General features: G+C 42.8%; 1 long non-coding RNA gene across 1 annotated transcript; it reads left to right on the forward strand.

Moving 5' to 3' along the window:
* The first annotated feature begins 5,685 nt into the window (after positions 1-5,685).
* On the forward strand, positions 5,686-17,471 carry LOC112268247 (uncharacterized). The gene is made up of 2 exons (XR_002958424.1): positions 5,686-6,045; positions 16,420-17,471. It is a non-coding gene; the product is annotated as an uncharacterized LOC112268247 (long non-coding RNA).
* The last annotated feature ends 1,069 nt before the right edge of the window (positions 17,472-18,540 follow it).

Here is an 18,540-nt window from a genome sequence, read left to right on the forward strand (position 1 = left end):
ATTATTTGTCATATAGAAGTCTGTACTTCAACAAAAGATGCCAAGAATTTCAAGTTAATATCCTCACACATATATTCTCACTAGAAGGGCACTGGTGTGTTTGCAATCAGGGTGGAGCATTTCTGGCTTTGCTTGTGCTACTTTGATTGTCTAAAATAGAAAGACAGGAAGTAAAGTGGAGTCAGCCATGACATATTGAGCTTCTACAGCAACAACATCTGAATTCTTGTGTTACGTCAACTAGAAGTAATGACAGTATTTTATTTTATTTTGTTTTATTTATTTATTTATTTAGAGACAGAGTTTCACTCTTGTTGCACAGGCTGGAGTGCAATGGTGCGATCTTGGCTCACCACAACCTCCACTTCCCAGGTTCAAGTGATTCTCCTGCCTCAGCCTCCTGAGTAGCTGAGATTACAGGCATGCACCACCACACCCGGCTAATTTTGTATTTTTAGTAGAGATGGGGTTTCTCCATGTTGGTCAGGCTGGTCTCAAACTCCCGACCTCAGGTTACCTGCCCACCTCGGCCTCCCAAAGTGTTGGGATTACAGGCACAAGCCACCACATCCGGCCTGTTATTTTACTATATTTATTTTTAAAATTGTAATTCATTTATCCTGAATATATCACTGGGCCCAGAACCTAGGTGATGTGACTCTCCTGCATTATCTCTGCCCATAAGTGGGATTATTAAATATACCTGGGCCTACATAGGTATACAGATGCTACAATGACTCATATACCTGGACACAGCCAAGAGAAGAGATTTTGACTCTCATAGGTTGGCTTACAACAATGGATAAGGTCCTGGGTCTCCTACTTGTACCAAAGTCAAAGAGAATAACAACATTCACACATATCATATAAATTCCTCAAGTGGCACCAAAAGTGTCAACAGGGCCAACCATGCTGAAGAGACTGTGACTCTCCTATGCACACCCAGCTGACTGTAAGGACTGTCACCCTTCCAGATGGACACAGACCACTGTGGAGGTTTTGAATGTCACACCAAGAGTGAGTCAAAGGTTGGAATTGTGACTCTCACACATGGATGTGGTCCACAGGTGGAATAATGACTCTTGGACCTCAGGTGGAATTGGGGCTCTCATGCAGGGATTCAGTCCAGCATTCAGACTGCTTTGCATTCTTGGACCCAACCCACAGGAGATACTGGCTCTCATACATAACCCGGGATATGTGCAGGATTGTAAATGTCATCCCTGGACCTTTCTGCGGGTGTAATTGTGACAGATATTTTTGCCTAGAATCTGAATGATTTGACTCTCCTGCCTGGGCCAAGCCCACAAATGTGATTGTGACATATACTCAGGCCAAGCACCTAGGTTATGTGACTCTCCTGCCTGAGCCCTGCCCTCAAGGGAATTGTGACATATCATTGAACCCAGCACCTAGGTGATGTGGCTCTCCTCTCCTGCCTGGGCCCTGCCTACAGAGAAAATTGTGACATATTCCTCGACCCAGCACTCAGATAATGTGACTCTCCTGCCTGTGCACTGCCTACACAGGGCATGGTGGCCTATCGCCAGGCCCATCAACCATGTGATGTGAATCTCCTCTCTGCCTGAGCCCTGCCCTAAGGATTGTAAAATATTGCTGGGCTCAGCACCCAGGTAATGTAACCTTCTTGCTTTAGCACTGCCCAAAGGAGAAATTGTGACATCTATCTGGGCCAATCTTCTAGGTGATGTGAATCTCCTCTCCTGCCCCCTCCCTGCTCTGGGACTATGACACATTACTGGACTCAGCACCTAGGCGATGTGACTCTCCTCTCCTGTCTAGGACCTGCCCAATTGGTGACTGTGACACATCACTGGGCCTAGCACCTAGGTAATGTGACTCCTCTTTTGCCTGGCCCCTGACCACAGGTTGCATTGTGACATATCACTGGGCCCAGCACCCAGATGTTACTCTTCTTCTGCCTGGGTTTGTTCACAGATGGGATTGTGACATGTGCCTGAGCCCAGCATCTAGGTGGTGTTAGTCTCCTCTCCTGCTTAATACCTGCCCTGGGTACCGGGCAAGGCAATATGTCACAATGCCCCCTGAGATCAGGGCCCAGGAAAAAAGTCACATCACCTGTGTGCTGTGCCCAGTGATGTGTCACAATGTCCCCTGGGGAATAGAGTTCAGGAAGGAGAGTCACATCACCTACATGCTGCATCTAGTGATATATCACTTTCCTGCCTAGGCTCTGCCCACAGAAGGCTTTGTGACAGATCTATGGGCCTGTAATCTAGGTCATTTCACTTATTTTGGGGGGACCTTATGCACAAAAGATTGTGACATATTTCTGGGCACAGTACACAGGTGAGGTGACACTCCTGCCTGGGCCTGGCCCACAGAAGGAATTATATCACTGCTTCCATCACCTAGGTGAGGTAACTCACCTCTCCTGCCTGGGCCCTGCCTACCGGAAGAATTGTGACATAACACTGGGCCCAGCACCTAGGTGATGTGACTCTTTTGCCTTGTTCCTTCCCACAGGTGAGAGTGCGACATACCTGGGCTCAACTCACAGCTGTGAAAATAACTCATTCTTGTACCCAGCCAATAGGAGAGATTTTGATTCTCATAGATACATTTAGGGCAACTGGTAAGGTCCTGGGTCTCTTACTTTTATGAAGATAACAGAGGATTATGACACTCACACATATCATATAAAGCCCTTGAGTGGTACAGAGAGTGTCAGAACATAGGAGCAGGGCACAGTGGCTCACACCTGTAATCCCAGCACTTTGGGAGGCTGAGGCGGGCAGATCACCTGAAGTCAGGAGTTTGAGACCAGCCTGGCCAACATGGTGAAACCCCGTCTCTACTAAAAATACAAAAATTAGCCAGGTGTGGTGGTGCATGACTGTAATCCCAGCTACTCGGGAAGTTGAGGCAGGAGAATTGCTTGAACCCGGGAGGCAGAGGTTGCAGTGAGCCGAGGTTGCGCCATTGCACTCCAGCCTGGGTGACAGAGCAAGAGTCCGTCTCAAAAAACAAAAACAAAAACACAGCACTCAGATGAGATTATGACTCTCATATTCACACTCAGCTGCCAGAATTGTCACCCTCAAACATGGACACAGCCCACTGGTGAGGTCCTGGATCTCACAGGAGTACACAGTTGGAATTGTGACTGTCATACGTAGGCCTGGCCACAGGTGTGACGCTGACTCATTTCTGGACACAGCACACAGGGACAATGATGACTTTCATACCTGAACCCAACCAATAGGAGAGATGTTGACTCTTGTACCTAGGACAATGAGTAAGATCCTGGCTCCATACCAGCACAAATTTCCAGAGCAGATAGCAACTGTCTTGCACACTGTATAAAGCCCTTGGGTTACACAGAGTTTCATAACATGGCCCAGCACACAGAAGCGATTGTGACTCTCATATGCACACCCAGCCAACAGTAAGGATTGTCACCCTCTATCATAAAGCCACCCCGCTGTCGAAGTTCTTAATCTCACACCTGGATTCAGTCAAAAGTTGAAATTGTGACTCTCCTACGTGAATGTTTTCCACAGTTGGATAATGACTCTCAGACCAGGATTCAGAACACTGGTGAGGCTGTGACTCCTTTACTGAAACACAGTCCCCTGCAGGCAGGATTGGGGATCTTATGCACAAATCCAGCTAACCCTTAAGACTGACTCATGTACTTGGACCAAACTCACAGGCATTGACTCTCATACCTGAAGCCAGGACATGTGTGGAATTGTTAAGCTCTTCTCTGGACCTTTCCACAGATGTGGTTGTGAGATATATCTTTGCCTAGTACCTGAGTGAGGTGCTTCTCCTGCCTGGGTCTGGCTCCTAAATAGGATTGTGAGATATACCTGGGCCCAAGCTCTCAGGTGATGTGACTCTCCTGCCTGGGCCCTGTCATAATGGGGGATTTTGCTATAATGCTGGACATAGCTAGGTGATGTGACTCTCCTGTCCTATCTGGGCTCTGCTCACAGGTGAGATTGTGACACATCGCTGAGCCCAGCACCCAGGTGATATAGCTCTGCTGCCTGGGCCCTGCCCACACAGGGCATTACGGTATATTGCCGGGCCAAACACCCAGTAATGTGACTCTTTTTCTGGGCCTTGTCCTCAGGGTGCATGGTGATATATCACTGGATCTAGCACACAGGTGATGTAAATCTCTTGCCTGGGTCTTGCCCGTAGGAGATATTGTAACATATCGCTGGGCTCAGCACTCAGGTGATATGCCTCTCCTGCCAGGGCTCTGCCCACAGTAGGGATTGTGACATATTACAGGGGCCGACACCTATGTGATGTGTCTCCTTTTCTCCCTTGGTCCTACCCTCAAAGAAGATTGTAACTTATTGCTGGGCCAAGCACCCAGGTGATGGGACACTTCTTCCTGGGCCCTGCCCACAGAGGAAATTGTAACATATTTCTGGGCCCAGAACCAAGGTGGTATAATTATTTTGCCTTAGCTTTGCCCACAAAAAGGATTGTGACATATTCCTGGCCCAGCATCCAGGTTATGTGGCTCTCTTGCCCTGTCTCTGCCCACATGTGGGATTGTGACATATCAGTGGGCCCAGAACCAAGGTGATATGAGTCTCCTGTCTGTGCTCTGCCCACAGGGGAGATTGTGACACATTGGTGGGCTCGGCATCCAAGTGATGTGAGTGTCTTGCTTGGATTTTACCCAAAGAGAGTATTGTGACACACCTGTGGATGTGACTTTTCTGCTTGATCCCTGCCCACATTTGAAATTGGGGCCTACACCTGTTTCCATCACCTAGGTGATGTAGCTCTCCTTCCTGGTCCCTGTCCAAAGGGAGGATTGTAACACACCTGCTTCCAGCACCTAGGTAATGTGACTTTCCTGCCTGGGCCCTGCCTCCAGGTAATTGTGACATATACCTGAACCCATCTTCTGAGTTGTGTTGCTCTTCCTCCTGGGTCCCACCCAGAGGGTAGATTGTGGCATGTACCTGGGTCCAGCACCTAGGTGATGTTACACTTTGCCTGGACCTAGAACACAAGAAAAGATTTTGACAGATTTCTTACCACAGCACCTAAGATATGTGACTCCGCTGCCTAGGCTAAAGCCACAAGTGGGATTACATAATACTGGGCCGAGTACTGAGGTGATTTGAGCCTTTTTTAGGTCAAGTTCTCAGGGGGACTGACATATACCTGGGCTCAGGAATTAAGGTGATGTGGCTGTCCTGCATGGGCCCAATCCACAGAGAACATTGTGACATATACCTGGGCCCAGACCATAGGTCATGCGACTCTCTCACCTAGGTCAAGGCCACAAATGGGATAGTGACATATAGTTGAACCAAGCACCTATGTGTTCTGACTCTCATGCCTGGCCAAAGTCACAAGGGGCATTGTGACATATACCTGGGCCCAGCACTTAGATGATGTGACTCTTTAGCCTGAGCCCACCCCACAGGGAGTATTGTGACACATACCTGGGCTCAACACCTATGTGAGGTGTACATCTAACCTGGGCCAAGCCAACAAAAGAGATTGTGACAATATACCAGGGCTAAGCACCTAGACAATGTGTCTCTCTTACCTGGGACCTGCCCATAGTGGGGATTGTGACACATACCTGGTACCTAGGCTATGTAACTCTTCTGCCTGGGCTGAGGCCATAGGTGGGATTGTGATGTAGAGCTAATTCCAGAACCTAGGTGATGTGAATCTCCAACATGAGCCCAAGCAACAGGAGGGATTGTGACACATACCTGGGCCCAGTACCTAGGTGATGTGGCTCTCTTGCTTGGGACCTGCCAAACAGGGGACTTTAATATACCTGGGCCCCACACCTAGGTGATGTGACTCTTCTGCTGGGCCTCGACCATAAGAGAGATTGCGATATATACATGGGCCCAGCCTTCAGGTGATGTAGCTCTTCTGCCTGAGCCAGGCTCACAGGGGGAATTGTAAGATTTAGCTGGACCCAGCTCACAGGCAATGATGACTCTCATACCTGGACCCAGTGAAGAGGAGACATTCTGACTCTCATAGCTAGCCTTAAGGAAATAGGTAAGGTCATGGATCTCATACTTGTACAAAAGTCACAGAGAGGTTTGTGACTCTCAAGCATATCACGTAAAACTCTCAGGTGGTAGAGTGTCATAACAGTGCCCATCACGCAAGTGAGACTGTGGCTCTCATGCACTCCCAGTTGAAAGTTAGGATTGTTACTCTTACACATGGACACAGCTCACTAGTGAGGTCCCCAATTTTATAGCCAAACATACTGGACAGTTGGAATTGTGACTCTTCTATGTGAATCTTGACACAGGTGGGATGGTCATTCATTTTTGGACCAAGCCCACAGGCATGATCATGAGTCTCATACCTGGACCCAGCCAATAAGAAACATTTTTGGCCAGGTGCGGTGGCTCATGCCTGTAATCCCAACACTTTGGGAGGATGAGGTGGGCTGATTACGAGGTCATGAGTTTGAGACAAGCCTGGCCAATATGATGAAACCCTATCTCTACTAAAAATACAAAAATTAGCCAGGCGTGGTGGCACACACCTGTAGTCCCTGTTACTTGGGAGACTGAGGCATAAGAATCTCTTGAACCCGGAAGGCGGAGTTTGCAGTGACCTGAAATCGCACCATCGCACTCCAGCCTGGGTAATAAAGCGAGACTCTGTCTTGAAAAAGAAAAAAAAAAAAGAAACATTTTGACTCTTCTGTTGGGCTTAAGGCCACAGGTAAGATCATGTGTCTATACCATCATGCAGGTCTCAGGGAAGATTGCAGCTCTCATGCATGCTGTATAAAGCACTTGGTTGGTACATAGAGTGTCATAAAAGAACCCAGCACACAGGAAAAATTGTGATTCTTGTATGCATACTCAACCAAATGTTAGAATTATCAGCCTCACACATGCACACAACCCACTGTTGAGGTTCTGAATCTCACACCCAGAAAAGTTGACAGTTGGAATTGTGACACTCATCCATGGATGGAGTCCACAGGTGTGATGGTTAATACTGAATGTCAACTTGATTGGATTGAAGGATACAAAGTATTTATCCTGGGAATTGAGAAAATAACAAATTATCCCATAACATTTACTAATTATCTGAAGATAGATCCTCAGAAAATATATTACTGGGTTAAATGATGTCTATGTAAACTGTTCACAGTTACAGCCAGATGACTTTCCAAAAGGGCTGTAGCAGGTCCATCGGCGCTGGCATTCTCTGATGCACCTGCTGCTCTGTATCTAAGCTCTCCTGCATATTACATTCTTTTAATTTTTGTTGTCAGTTTGTGTCTATATGGCAAATAAAATCTCATTGTCCCTTTCACTTTCAGTTTTTAAACTGACACGTTTGAGTCACCTTTCAGTTGTTTAAGACCTATTAAGATTTTCTCTTTTTTGAGTCATCTGCTCAGATCTTTGGCCCTGTGATGGGCATTCTCCCACCCTGGAGTTTTCCAGCATTTGCCCCTTTGCCAGTTCTGGGATTGTTGTAGTTATTTCTCCAGACTCCCTTTAATATTAAAGAAAAAAAAGCAATTGGCCGGGCGCGGTGGCTCACGCCTATAATCCCAGCACTTTGGGAGGCTAAGGTGGGCGGATCATGAAGTCAAGAGATCGAGACCATCCTGGCCAACATTGTGAAACCCTGTCTCTACTAAAAACACAAAACGTAGCTGGGCATGGCGGCGCTCGCCTGTAGTCCCAGCTATTGTGGAGCTTGAGGCAGGAGAATCACTTGAAGCCGGGAGGCAGAGACTGCGGTGAGCCAAGATCATGCCACTGCACTCCGGCCTGGTGACACGGTGAGACTCCATCTCAAAAAAAAAAAAAAGGCGGGGGGATTTGCATGGGGAGAATCCTATGGAGGACCAATAAAATCTCAGAGAAGTGAGCTCGACATAAAGCAAAGAAAATAGACTCGCTTTCAGAATTTTTGACATTTTTGCCTTTTTAGTAAATTATCAACACTTTGGAAATTATGTTTTATTTCAATATTTTTCTTTTCTTTGCAAAATAGGTATACACCCAAACTCACACAAACACAATTACTTACTCCGTAACTCCTTTACTTCTAAGATTTATCCTTAGAGGAATATATTTGTATATTTTATCCTTGTAAAACAAGACTATCAGTCTGCATATATTTTGCAAGTCAGAAAGGTGACATGTGCAAAAAAAAAAGTGGAATAAAATTTTGTAAATACTCATTCAATATTCAGAAATACATGGCTTTAAATTGTACTTTTATATAATCTTCATTATTACCATTATAATGGCCCTGTAGTTACAAAAAGAATAAAAATATTACCAATAGAAACAATATTCTTTAAACTGTTTGATGTTTAAAGTTATTGAAAAAAGGGATCCCTAAAAATGTTATTCAACTATGTTAACCAATAGTGTATTGTTATCATCTGTTACCTACAAGCTTCAGTTAGGTTGGATAGGTTAACACTGGTAAAAAAATAATACTTTGTTCAATGCACAATAGTAGAAACAAAAACAATTATGCTTAATTAAAACAAATTAAGTTCACACAGAATCTAAATTTTTTTTTAAATCCACTGTATCTTATTATTTTAATAAGCAATTGGAAAAACAACTTGAATTGAAGATCTAAAATGTTTCTCCCTTACTATAATGCATGGAATCTTACTCTAAAAACCTACCCCATGTATCACATGCTGTTGTTAATCAACCACAAAGCACTTCCCCACTTAGAATCTCTTGATATGTCTTACATTTCAGTGTCTATGAAAAACTATGTGAATGATGCTTGTCTAATAGAGATGTGCCTCTTATAGGTCTGATGAAGCAAAAACTAACCATGTGCTTTTGTATACACACTAAGAATGAAGGCATAACAAGTGATCTAAGAGTTGAATTGCAGCCGGGCATGGTGGCTCACGCCTGTAATCCCAGTATTTTGGGAGGCTGAGGCAGGTGGATCATGAGGTCAGGAGTTCAAGACCAGCCTTGCCAAGATGGTGAAACCCCATCTCTACTAAAAACTGCAAAAATTAGCCAGGCGCAGTGGAAGGTGCCTTTAATCCCAGCTACTTGAGAAGCTGAGGCAGGTGAATCGCCTGAAGCTGGGCTGCAGAGGTTGCAGTGAGCCAAGATCGTGCCACTGCACTCCAGCCTGGGTGACAGAGTGAGGCTCTGTCTCAAAAAAATAAAAAAGAGTTGAATTGCATCAATGTTTGCTTTTCAAGAATTTTAATTTTTTAATGCAAAAAGTATGCTTTGAATGTAATTATAACTCTCCAGAAGAAAAATCAATCTCCTCCTTTTAAATGTACATACAAATAAATTAATTTTTTGGTAATTCTTTATAGAAACAAAGTCTTGCTGTGTTACCCAGGCTGGTCTCAATCTCGTGGGCTCAAGTGTTTTTTTCACCCTAGCCTCCCAAAGTGCTGGGATTACAGACATGAGCCATGGCACCTGGCCTTCAGCAATTTTCTAAGCTTCCCAATGACACAGTATATTGTAAAAATATACACGGTAGCCTGGGTGCGGTGGCTCATGCCTGTAATCCCAGCATTTTGGGAGCCCAAGGCAGGCAGATCACAAGGTCAAGAGATCGAGACCATCCTGGCCAACATGGTGAAACCACGTCTCTATTAGAAATACAAAAATAAGCTGGGTGTGGTGGTATGTGCCTGTAATCCCAGCTACTCAGAAGGCTGAGGCAGGTGAATCACTCGAACCTGGGAGGTTGCAGTGAGCCGAGATCATGCCACTGCACTCCAGCCTGGCAACAGAGTGATACTCCTTTTAAAATATATATATATACACATATATAATATATACATGTGTACATATATATAATATATACATGTGTACATATATAATATATACATGTGTACATATATACAATATATACATGTGTACATATATAATATATGTATATATAATATATACATGTGTACATATATATAATATATGTACATATATTATATATGCAATAAATACATTAAGCTACATTACCATAAGAAATTTGGTCATGTAGTGTTTAAATTACCTATCTCAATTTATATTAAAAAAACTGAAAATCGGGGCCAGGTGCAGTGGCTCACGCCTGTAATCCCAGCACTTAGGGAGGTCGAGGTGGATTGATCACCTAAGGTCAGGAGTTCAAGAACAGCCTGACCATCATGGTGAAACCTCATCTCTACTAAAAATACAAACTTAGCTGGGCGTGGTGGCAGGTGCCTATAATGCCAGCTACTTGGGAGGCTGAGGCAGGAGAATCGCTTGAACCCGGGAGGCAGGGGTTGTAGTGAGCCAAGATCATGCCATTGCACTCCAGGCTGGGCAACAAGAGCTAAACTCCATCTCAAAAACAAAACAAAACAAAAAAAAACCTGAAAATTAAAAAAAAAAAATAGATTTTCTTACATTTACAGAGGTACTTAGTGTTCTGATAAAGTTACTGAGTACAAATATCTCTAGAAACACATCTGAAACCATCACAGAATAGAAAGTCATAAAGTAGAAAACTCACATCTTTATCTGGTGTTCTTGCGATTTTGAAACCAAATTTCAATATCACTACTGCTTTCACACATTTCAGCAATGATGTAGAAAGGATTTAAAATAGTTTCATACAGAGTTTCTCTAAAAGACAAATAGTCTCATGTCCCCCAATAGCAATGGAAGACCTGTCAGATTATTCAACCTCTTATAAACCATAAGATGGACTTCAGCTCTAAGTATAAGCTTGAAGGAAGATTAAATTAAAGTAGAATTCTTGGGGGATTTAAGACCATGGGACAGAAGCTGCCCCACTGTTTGGGTATGAGAAAAGAAATCAGGCATTTTAGAAACTATTTCTATTGCAGCAGACCTTCCTAAACCACATTTTATGGTCTGGCTTTCTTCTTCACCTTTGGACCTCAGCTGTGTCATCTTCTTTCACTCCCGCCTACCTAGGTGCTGGCTATGGTCTCTTGTCTTTCTAAATTCCAAGATTCTTTCCTTTGCTTCAGAGAGTTGATCAGGCCCAGATTAGACACAGCAAGATCTGTCTTATTAGAAAAAGGAAACATGAGTTTTGCTGGATTCTCCAATTACCAGACTAGTACTTAGTACTGTGCTTACTAAAGAAAAAGAATATTACAGATAATGTAAAGTTAATATCAAAATACCTTTTCTTCGACAGAATCTTTAGAATATTTAGAAAGTATTTTAAATTTGTGGGTCCTTAGCTCACTACCCAGTAGTACTACTGAATCAAAAGCTGGTGGTGAAAATTGGATTTTAAAATATGAGCAACATTTTATGCTACTAAATTTCTATAATTACCACTAAACTAGAGTGAAGAATGTCAATCATTCAAGAAAAAAAGGTTAATCTCAAAATAAAACATATTGGGCGGGGCACGGTGGCTCATGCCTGTAATCCCAGCACTTTGGGAGGCCAAGGTGGGTAGATCATGAGGTCAAGGGTTCAAGACCAGCCAAGACCACTGCACTACTTTTTTTTTTTTTTTTGAGACAGTTTTGCTCTTGTTGCCCAGATTGAAGTGCAGTGCCATGATTTTGGCTCACTGCAACCTCTGCCTCCCAGGTTCAAGCGATTCTCCTGTCTTAGCCTCCTGAGTAGCTGGGATTATAGGCATGTCCCACCACGCCTCGCTAATTTTGTATTTTTAGTAGAGATGGGGTTTCACCATGTTGGTCAGGCTGGTCTCAAACTCCTGACGTCAGGTGAACCACCTGCCACGGCCTCCCAAAGTGCTGGGATTACAAGCATGCACCACCGCGCCCAGCCAAAAAAATTCTTTTTTTATACTAACAAATTCCCCAAATTTTCTAGACAGCAGGGATCTAAAACTATTCATTGAAAGCAAAATTATGTTTAGGAATATGGAGCATATTTTTATGTTTGTTGGCTTCTTGTAAGTTTTCTTTTGAGAAGTATCAGTTTATGTCTTTTGCTCATCTTTGTGGGGTTATTTATTCTTCTTTAATTAATTTTTTTATAGGTTCTGGAAATTAGACTTGTCAAATGCATAGTTTGCAAACATTTACTCTCATTCTGTAGGTTGTCTGTTTACTCTGTTGATAGTTTCTTTTGCTGTGCAGAAGCTCTTTAGAATAGTTAGGAAGTTGGGAAATTGTCACTTTTTGTTTTTCTTGCTTACTTTTGGAGACTTAGTCAAAAATTCTTTGCCAAGGCCAATGTCAAAAAAGATATTTAGTAGGTTTTTTTGTAGGATTTTTATAGTTTGATGTCTTAAATTTAAATCCTTAATTCATCTTGTGTTAATTTTTGTATATGGCAAATTGTAGGGGTTCAGTATTATCTAGTATTTTTTTCCGCATACGGTTAGCTGGTTATCCCAGCACCATTTATTAAATAGACAGTCTTATTTCCATTGCTTATTTTTGTCAATGTTGTCAAAAATTATATGGCTGTAGGTGTGTAGCTTTATTTCTGAGTTTTGTATTCTGTTCCACTGGTCTCTGTCTGCTTTTATACCAGTAATATGCTTCTTTGGTTCCTGTAGCCATATAGTATAGTTTAAATTTGGGTAGAGTGCTGTCTCTGGCTTTGCTCTTTTTGCTTAAGATTGTTTTGGGTATTTATGCTCTTTATTGTTTTATATAAATTTTAGAATAGTTTTTTTTTTAATTCTCTGAAAAGTTTTATTGGCAGTTTGATAGAGATAGCATTGAATCTGTAGATTAATTTGGCCAATGGGGTCATTTTAATATTGATTCTTTTAATCCATGTGAATATAATGTACTTCCATTTGTTTATGTCATCTATGATTTCTCTTAGCAGTATTTTGTAGTTCTCTTTGTGATAATTGTTCACCTCCTGGGTTATATGCATTCTTAGGTATTTTTTTGTGGCAAGTTAAATGGGATTGAGTTCTTGATTTGGCCCTCAGCTTCAATAATATTGGTGAATAAAAATGACTTTTGCGTATTGACTTGGTATTCTGAAACACTACTGAACTTGCTGATAAGTTCCAGGAGCTCTTTAGTAAAGTTATTAGGTGTTTTTAGGTATCAAATTAGATAATCCATAGAAAGAGATAGTTTGACTTTTTTTCCCGTAATTTGGATGCCTTTTATTTCTTGTTCTTGACTGATTGTTCTGACGAGAACTATTATTAATATTTTGTCATTAAAAGTGAATAAAAATTCTATCACTCTCCTGCTTCTACTTCCCTTAACTCTTACATTACAGCCAAAAGAAATCTTTACATTTCTCATTTTATTACAATAAAAATATGTATTTTACCAGAAAAATAAAACAAGAATATGGTTAAAAAAAACCCAAAACATATATCAAATTTAAAATTTTCTACAATAAAATAAAATCGATTGAAACATGTAAAATAAAAGAAAGCAGCCAGGTGCAGTGACTCACGCCTGTAATCCCAGCACTTTAGGAGGCCAAGGTGGGTGGATCACGAGATCAAGAGTTCGAGACCAGCCTGGCCAACATAGGGAAACCCTGTCTCTACTAAAAATACAAAAATTAGCCAGGCCTGGTGGCACATGCCTTTAATCCCAGCAACTCAGGAGGCTGAGGCAGGAGACTCACTTGAACCCGGGAGGCAGAGGTTGCAGTGAGGCGAGATCATGCCTCCGCACTCCAGCCTCAGTGAAAGAGTGAGACCCTGTCTCCAAAAAAAACAAAAACAAAAACAAACAAAACAAACAAAAAAACAAAGTGCAGGTGAGTGCTTCGAACTGAACACCTTAGAAGCCCTAGTCCATTGTGGATGCACTGAAGCCAAGATTGTCACCAAAACTCAGTTCTCTGTTCTCCAGAGTCCAGGATCTGTAAAACTCTGCATTTAAAAAAGCTCTCAATGTTTTTCCAGGGGAGACTGTGTTCATCTATATCCTATCTCTTCTCACCTTGATTCAAATCCTACCTGATCTAGCGGTGCTGTTTCTGGTTTTGAGCTTAGTTTTCTGTAATTCTCTTTCTTATTTGGATTGTGGTCTGGTCCTAGTCAGAAAGGAAGTTTAGGTGACTCAAATCTCTCTAGATCCAGAGTCCCATAGTCTATTCCTGACTTACATTTGTTGTTCATTTTCTTAACTAAGGCTGTTCAGCAAGCATCAAGAGTTAATGAGAAGAATACGGTTCCAAGGGATCATTACTACAATTCTCAAAGCCATCTCAGGGATATAAGCCATTTCTCATTCCCTAGCTCAAAATAAAACCCTACCAAAGACACACAGCTTACTATCCCTCATTCCACCACTCTTTCTGATCTTAATATGAACAGCCCAAGGCCTTATCTGGCATTTGAGTGCATTACCTACTGGAATGGGAAGAGAGCACCTTGTCTTTTTTCAAATAGTTTCTCCTCCTCATCTAAGCTTCTATCTGTAAAAAAGATTTGTTGAAAATGGAGCTGGCAAGTGGGGCCTTGGATGAAGAGGTAGAGAAGATCTTGGTCTTCAGTTTCCCATTCCATGTTGAAACTCAAATGAAATGTCCTCTCTCTTACACATCCAGACTCAGAATGCAGGGTGTTATGCTGGACTTGCCTTTTATAAGCCCCTCAGCTGGGTACGGCTCACTCTTATGACAAGAAATTTATTTCCTGGAGACATTATGGCCTTCATAAGGAATGTTTCAGGTTGTGATTTACTGGGTACCTTAGACACACATAAGGGGAGATTTTTTCAGGGTCCTGTCATAGCATCAAAAACCAAAATAACAAAACCAGCCAGGTGAGGTGGCTCACACCTGTAACCAAAGCACTTAGGGAGGCCAAGGTGGGTGGATCACCTGAGGTCAGGAGTTCGAGACCAGCCTGGCCAACATGGCGAAACCCCATCTCTACTAAACATACAAAAATTAGCCAGGTGTGGTGGCGAGTGACTGTAATCTCAGCTACTTTGGAGGCTGAGGCAGGAGAATCGCATGAACCCAGGAGGTGGAGGTTGCAGTGAGCCGAGATCATGCCATTGCACTGAAGCCTGGGTGACAAGAGTGAAACTCTGCCTCAAAAGAAAAAAAAAAAACCAGTAGGCATGAAAATTGAAAGTCAAGAGACTCATCCCCTTTTGATTTCTAGCCCTCTTTTCACCCAGAACTATTAAAAACCTTGGCCAGATTTTAAAATGCTAAATTAAACAGACCATATATTAACAGGTATATTTAAATTGTACACATAAAGAAAATTACATAAAGGCCAGGCACGGTGGCTCACACCTGTAATCTCAGCACTTTATGAGGTTGAGGCGGGCGGATCACTTGAGGCCAGAAGTTCAAGGCCAGCCTGGCCAACGTAGTGAAACCCCGGCTTTACTAAAAATACAAAAATGAGCTGGATGTGGGTGACATGTGCCTGTAATCCCAGCTACTCGGGAGGCAGAGGTGAGAGAATCGGTTGAACCCAGGAGGCAGAGGTTGCAGTGAGCCAAGATTGCACCATTGCACTCCAGCCTGGGTGACAGAGTGAGACTCTGTCTCAAAAAAAAAAAAAAAAAAAGAAAAAAAAAGAAAAAAGAAAATTACATATACCATTAAAATTGTATACCTATATGTCACAATTTTTCAAATGCTTGGAAATGACATATCAAATTATAGTTGATTGCATTTGATAAATATACAATAAAATAAAATGCAGAACAACCAAACTCCAAATAGAATATGCCTTTGTCTCTTGAATGTTGAAGAGATACTTAAATCAAATGTGATCACATTGAATTGATCAGATAGGAGCCAGTGCTAACTCAATCAACCACTGATTCCTAAGGCAGCAAAGAGCCCAGCTGGAGAAGCAAGCTTCTCCTCTACCTCACCCTCCCTCAGTCATCCTGGGTGCTACATTGTCTTCTGTAGAATTTGCTCAGCATTCACTATCTGAGCTGACAAATTTGGCTAGATTATTATCACAACCCTAACACATTTTGGTTCTTTGTTCTTGTTTCTTTGTTTAAAATAGGTTGTGGATATAACTATTACATCATGAAACTTTTTTTTTTTTTTGAGATGGTGTCTAGCTCTGTTAGCCAGACTGGAGTGCAGTGGCGTGGTCTGAACTCACTGGAACCTCCACCTCCCAGGTTCAAGCGATTCTCTTGCCTCAGCCTCCTGAGTAGCTGGGATTACAGGCGCCTGCCACCACACCCAGCTAATTTTTTGTATTTTTAGTATAGATGGGGTTTCGCCATGTTGGCCAGGCTGGTCTCAAACTTCTGACCTCATGATCCGCCCGCCTTGGCCTCCCAAAGCACTGGGATTACAGGCATGAGCCACCACACGTAGCCTACATCATGAATCTTTAGAAACCCAGTATGGTACTTGTCTGGGTCTAGTCCTAAAAATAATAAACAGATCCAAAAAACTGTTGCAACATTAACCTTTGAAAGCTGCCTGTGATGATACTGACTCACTGACCTCCTTTCTCCTCAATCCACAGAGAAAGTGCAAGAACCACCAGGTCTTAGGGCACATGGCCAGGACCAGGAGGTACCCAGTGAAGTGCTCTAATGTGGTCCTGTCCCACAGCCCCTGAACCAAATAAGGACAAGCAGAACCTGAAACCAAGGAAGGCTTGGGAACTGCAGACTCCAGGACTCTTTACTAAGACTAACAGGAGGAATGAAGGCAAAGATCAGATACCTGCAGGGTTGAAACCGTACCCAGACTTTGGAATTTTAGTGTCTCCTTCTTTACTCTGTGTCCACAGCCCTCTTTAAGAGTGGAGAGAGAAACATAATAGAAATACATGAAGAGTCTGGGTGCGGTGGCTCACGCCTGTAATCCCAGCACTTTGGGAGGCCGAGGGGGGCAGATCATGATGTCAGGAAATCGAGACCATCCTGACTAACACGGTGAAACCCCATCTCTACTGAAAAATACAAAAAAAAAAATTAGCCAGGCGTGCCTATAGTTCCAGCTGCTCAGGAGGCTGAGGCAGGAGAATCGCTTGAACCTGGGAGGTGGAGGTTGCAGTGAGCTGAGATCGTGCCACTACACTCCAACCTGGTGACAGAGCGAGACTCTGTTTCAAAAAAAAAAAATACATGAAGAGCCCAGCATACTCCTGAGTTCCTCTCTCAGGAGCTCATTCTATTCCTGGAGGATCATTGTGAGCAGGTGTATGAGGATACCTTGAAACTGCATGTGGCAGGCACAATTGCAGTAGATTACAAATGAAAGCCCATCTTGATTGGACATGAAGAAACCATGCAAGGATGCTTGGAGTTGGGGGCTGGATTTGACATGAAGGCAGAAGATACCTTCACAAAGTTCAGAAGACCTTCATTGCTTTCCTCACAGCAAAATATGAGCGAGGACAGTGCCCCTGCTGTTCCTTCCCTGGGTGGTGACAGAAAGTTGAGACACATACAAACACTTAACATAGTTTACTCAGCAAGCAAGAAAATCTTGGAAGGAAGATTCTACTGCAGAATTTGTGCAGCAGATATGAACTGAAGCATCAGCAAAACTGAAAAGTAATGAGAGAATCTGGTGGCTCTGAGGTGTTTTTTTCCCTTTGTTTCCTGCTTAGTTGCTCTTTGAGGATCCCCTGACTTGTTTTACTCCTGTGCCCTTTATGAATGAGTGATGATCATCTTAAAAATCAGGATGTTCGGCCAGGTGCGATGGCTCACGCCTGTAATCCCAGCACTTTGGGAGGCCGAGGCGGGTGGATCACCTGAGGTCAGGAGTTCGAGCCCAGCCTCACCAACATGGTGAAACTCCATCTGTACTGAAAATACAAAAATTAGCCTGGCTTGGTGGTGTGTGCCTGTAGTGCCCACTACTCAGGAGCCTGAGGCAGGATAATTGCTTGAACCCAGGAGGCAGAGGTTGCAGTGAGCCAGGATTGCACCACTGCACTCCAGCCTGGGTAACAGAGAGAGACTCTGTCTCCAAAAAAAAAAAAAAGAAATCAGGATGGTAAAAAATATTTTTCATGTATGTGTACCTTCCTTTTTACTCTTCTTCCTCTTCTTCTTCTTCCTCTTCTTCTTCTTCTTCTCCTTCTTCTTCTCCTTCTCCTCCTCCTTTTTCTCCTCCTCCTCCTCCTTCTCCTCCTCCTCCTCCTTTTTCTCCTCCTCCTCCTCCTCCTCCTCTTCTCCTTCTCCTGCTGCTGCTGCTTTTTTGGATTCTTCTGCTTCTGTTTTCTTTTTCTCTTTGCTATTATGTACATGCCCACCAAGAACATGCTAGGTATGGGGATTTCTGCACAGATGTTCAAGTGTTTTATGAGATGCCTTCCAGGAGGTAGAATCCTTTATGTAAGATCATGTGTCTTTCCACGCTTGATACATATTTTAAAATTATCTTTCAAAAGGTAATTGGCCATTTATACTCCTTACAAGCATGCACAAAACAGCAGGTTTCCTCTGATAACATAGAGACCGTATTAAGGAACATTTAAATTTCCAAACTGATGGTCACACAAACTCATATATTTTGTAATTATTTTTTAACCACCATTAAAGTTGGATGCCTCTTTATGTAGACAATGACAATTTTTACTTCTTTTACTGTGAAATGTTATTATAGGTCCCGTGTCTTTTTGTAATTA

This window comes from Homo sapiens, chromosome 19 (genome assembly GCF_000001405.40).
Source record: "Homo sapiens chromosome 19, GRCh38.p14 Primary Assembly".
NCBI classification, from domain to species: Eukaryota; Metazoa; Chordata; class Mammalia; order Primates; family Hominidae; genus Homo; species Homo sapiens.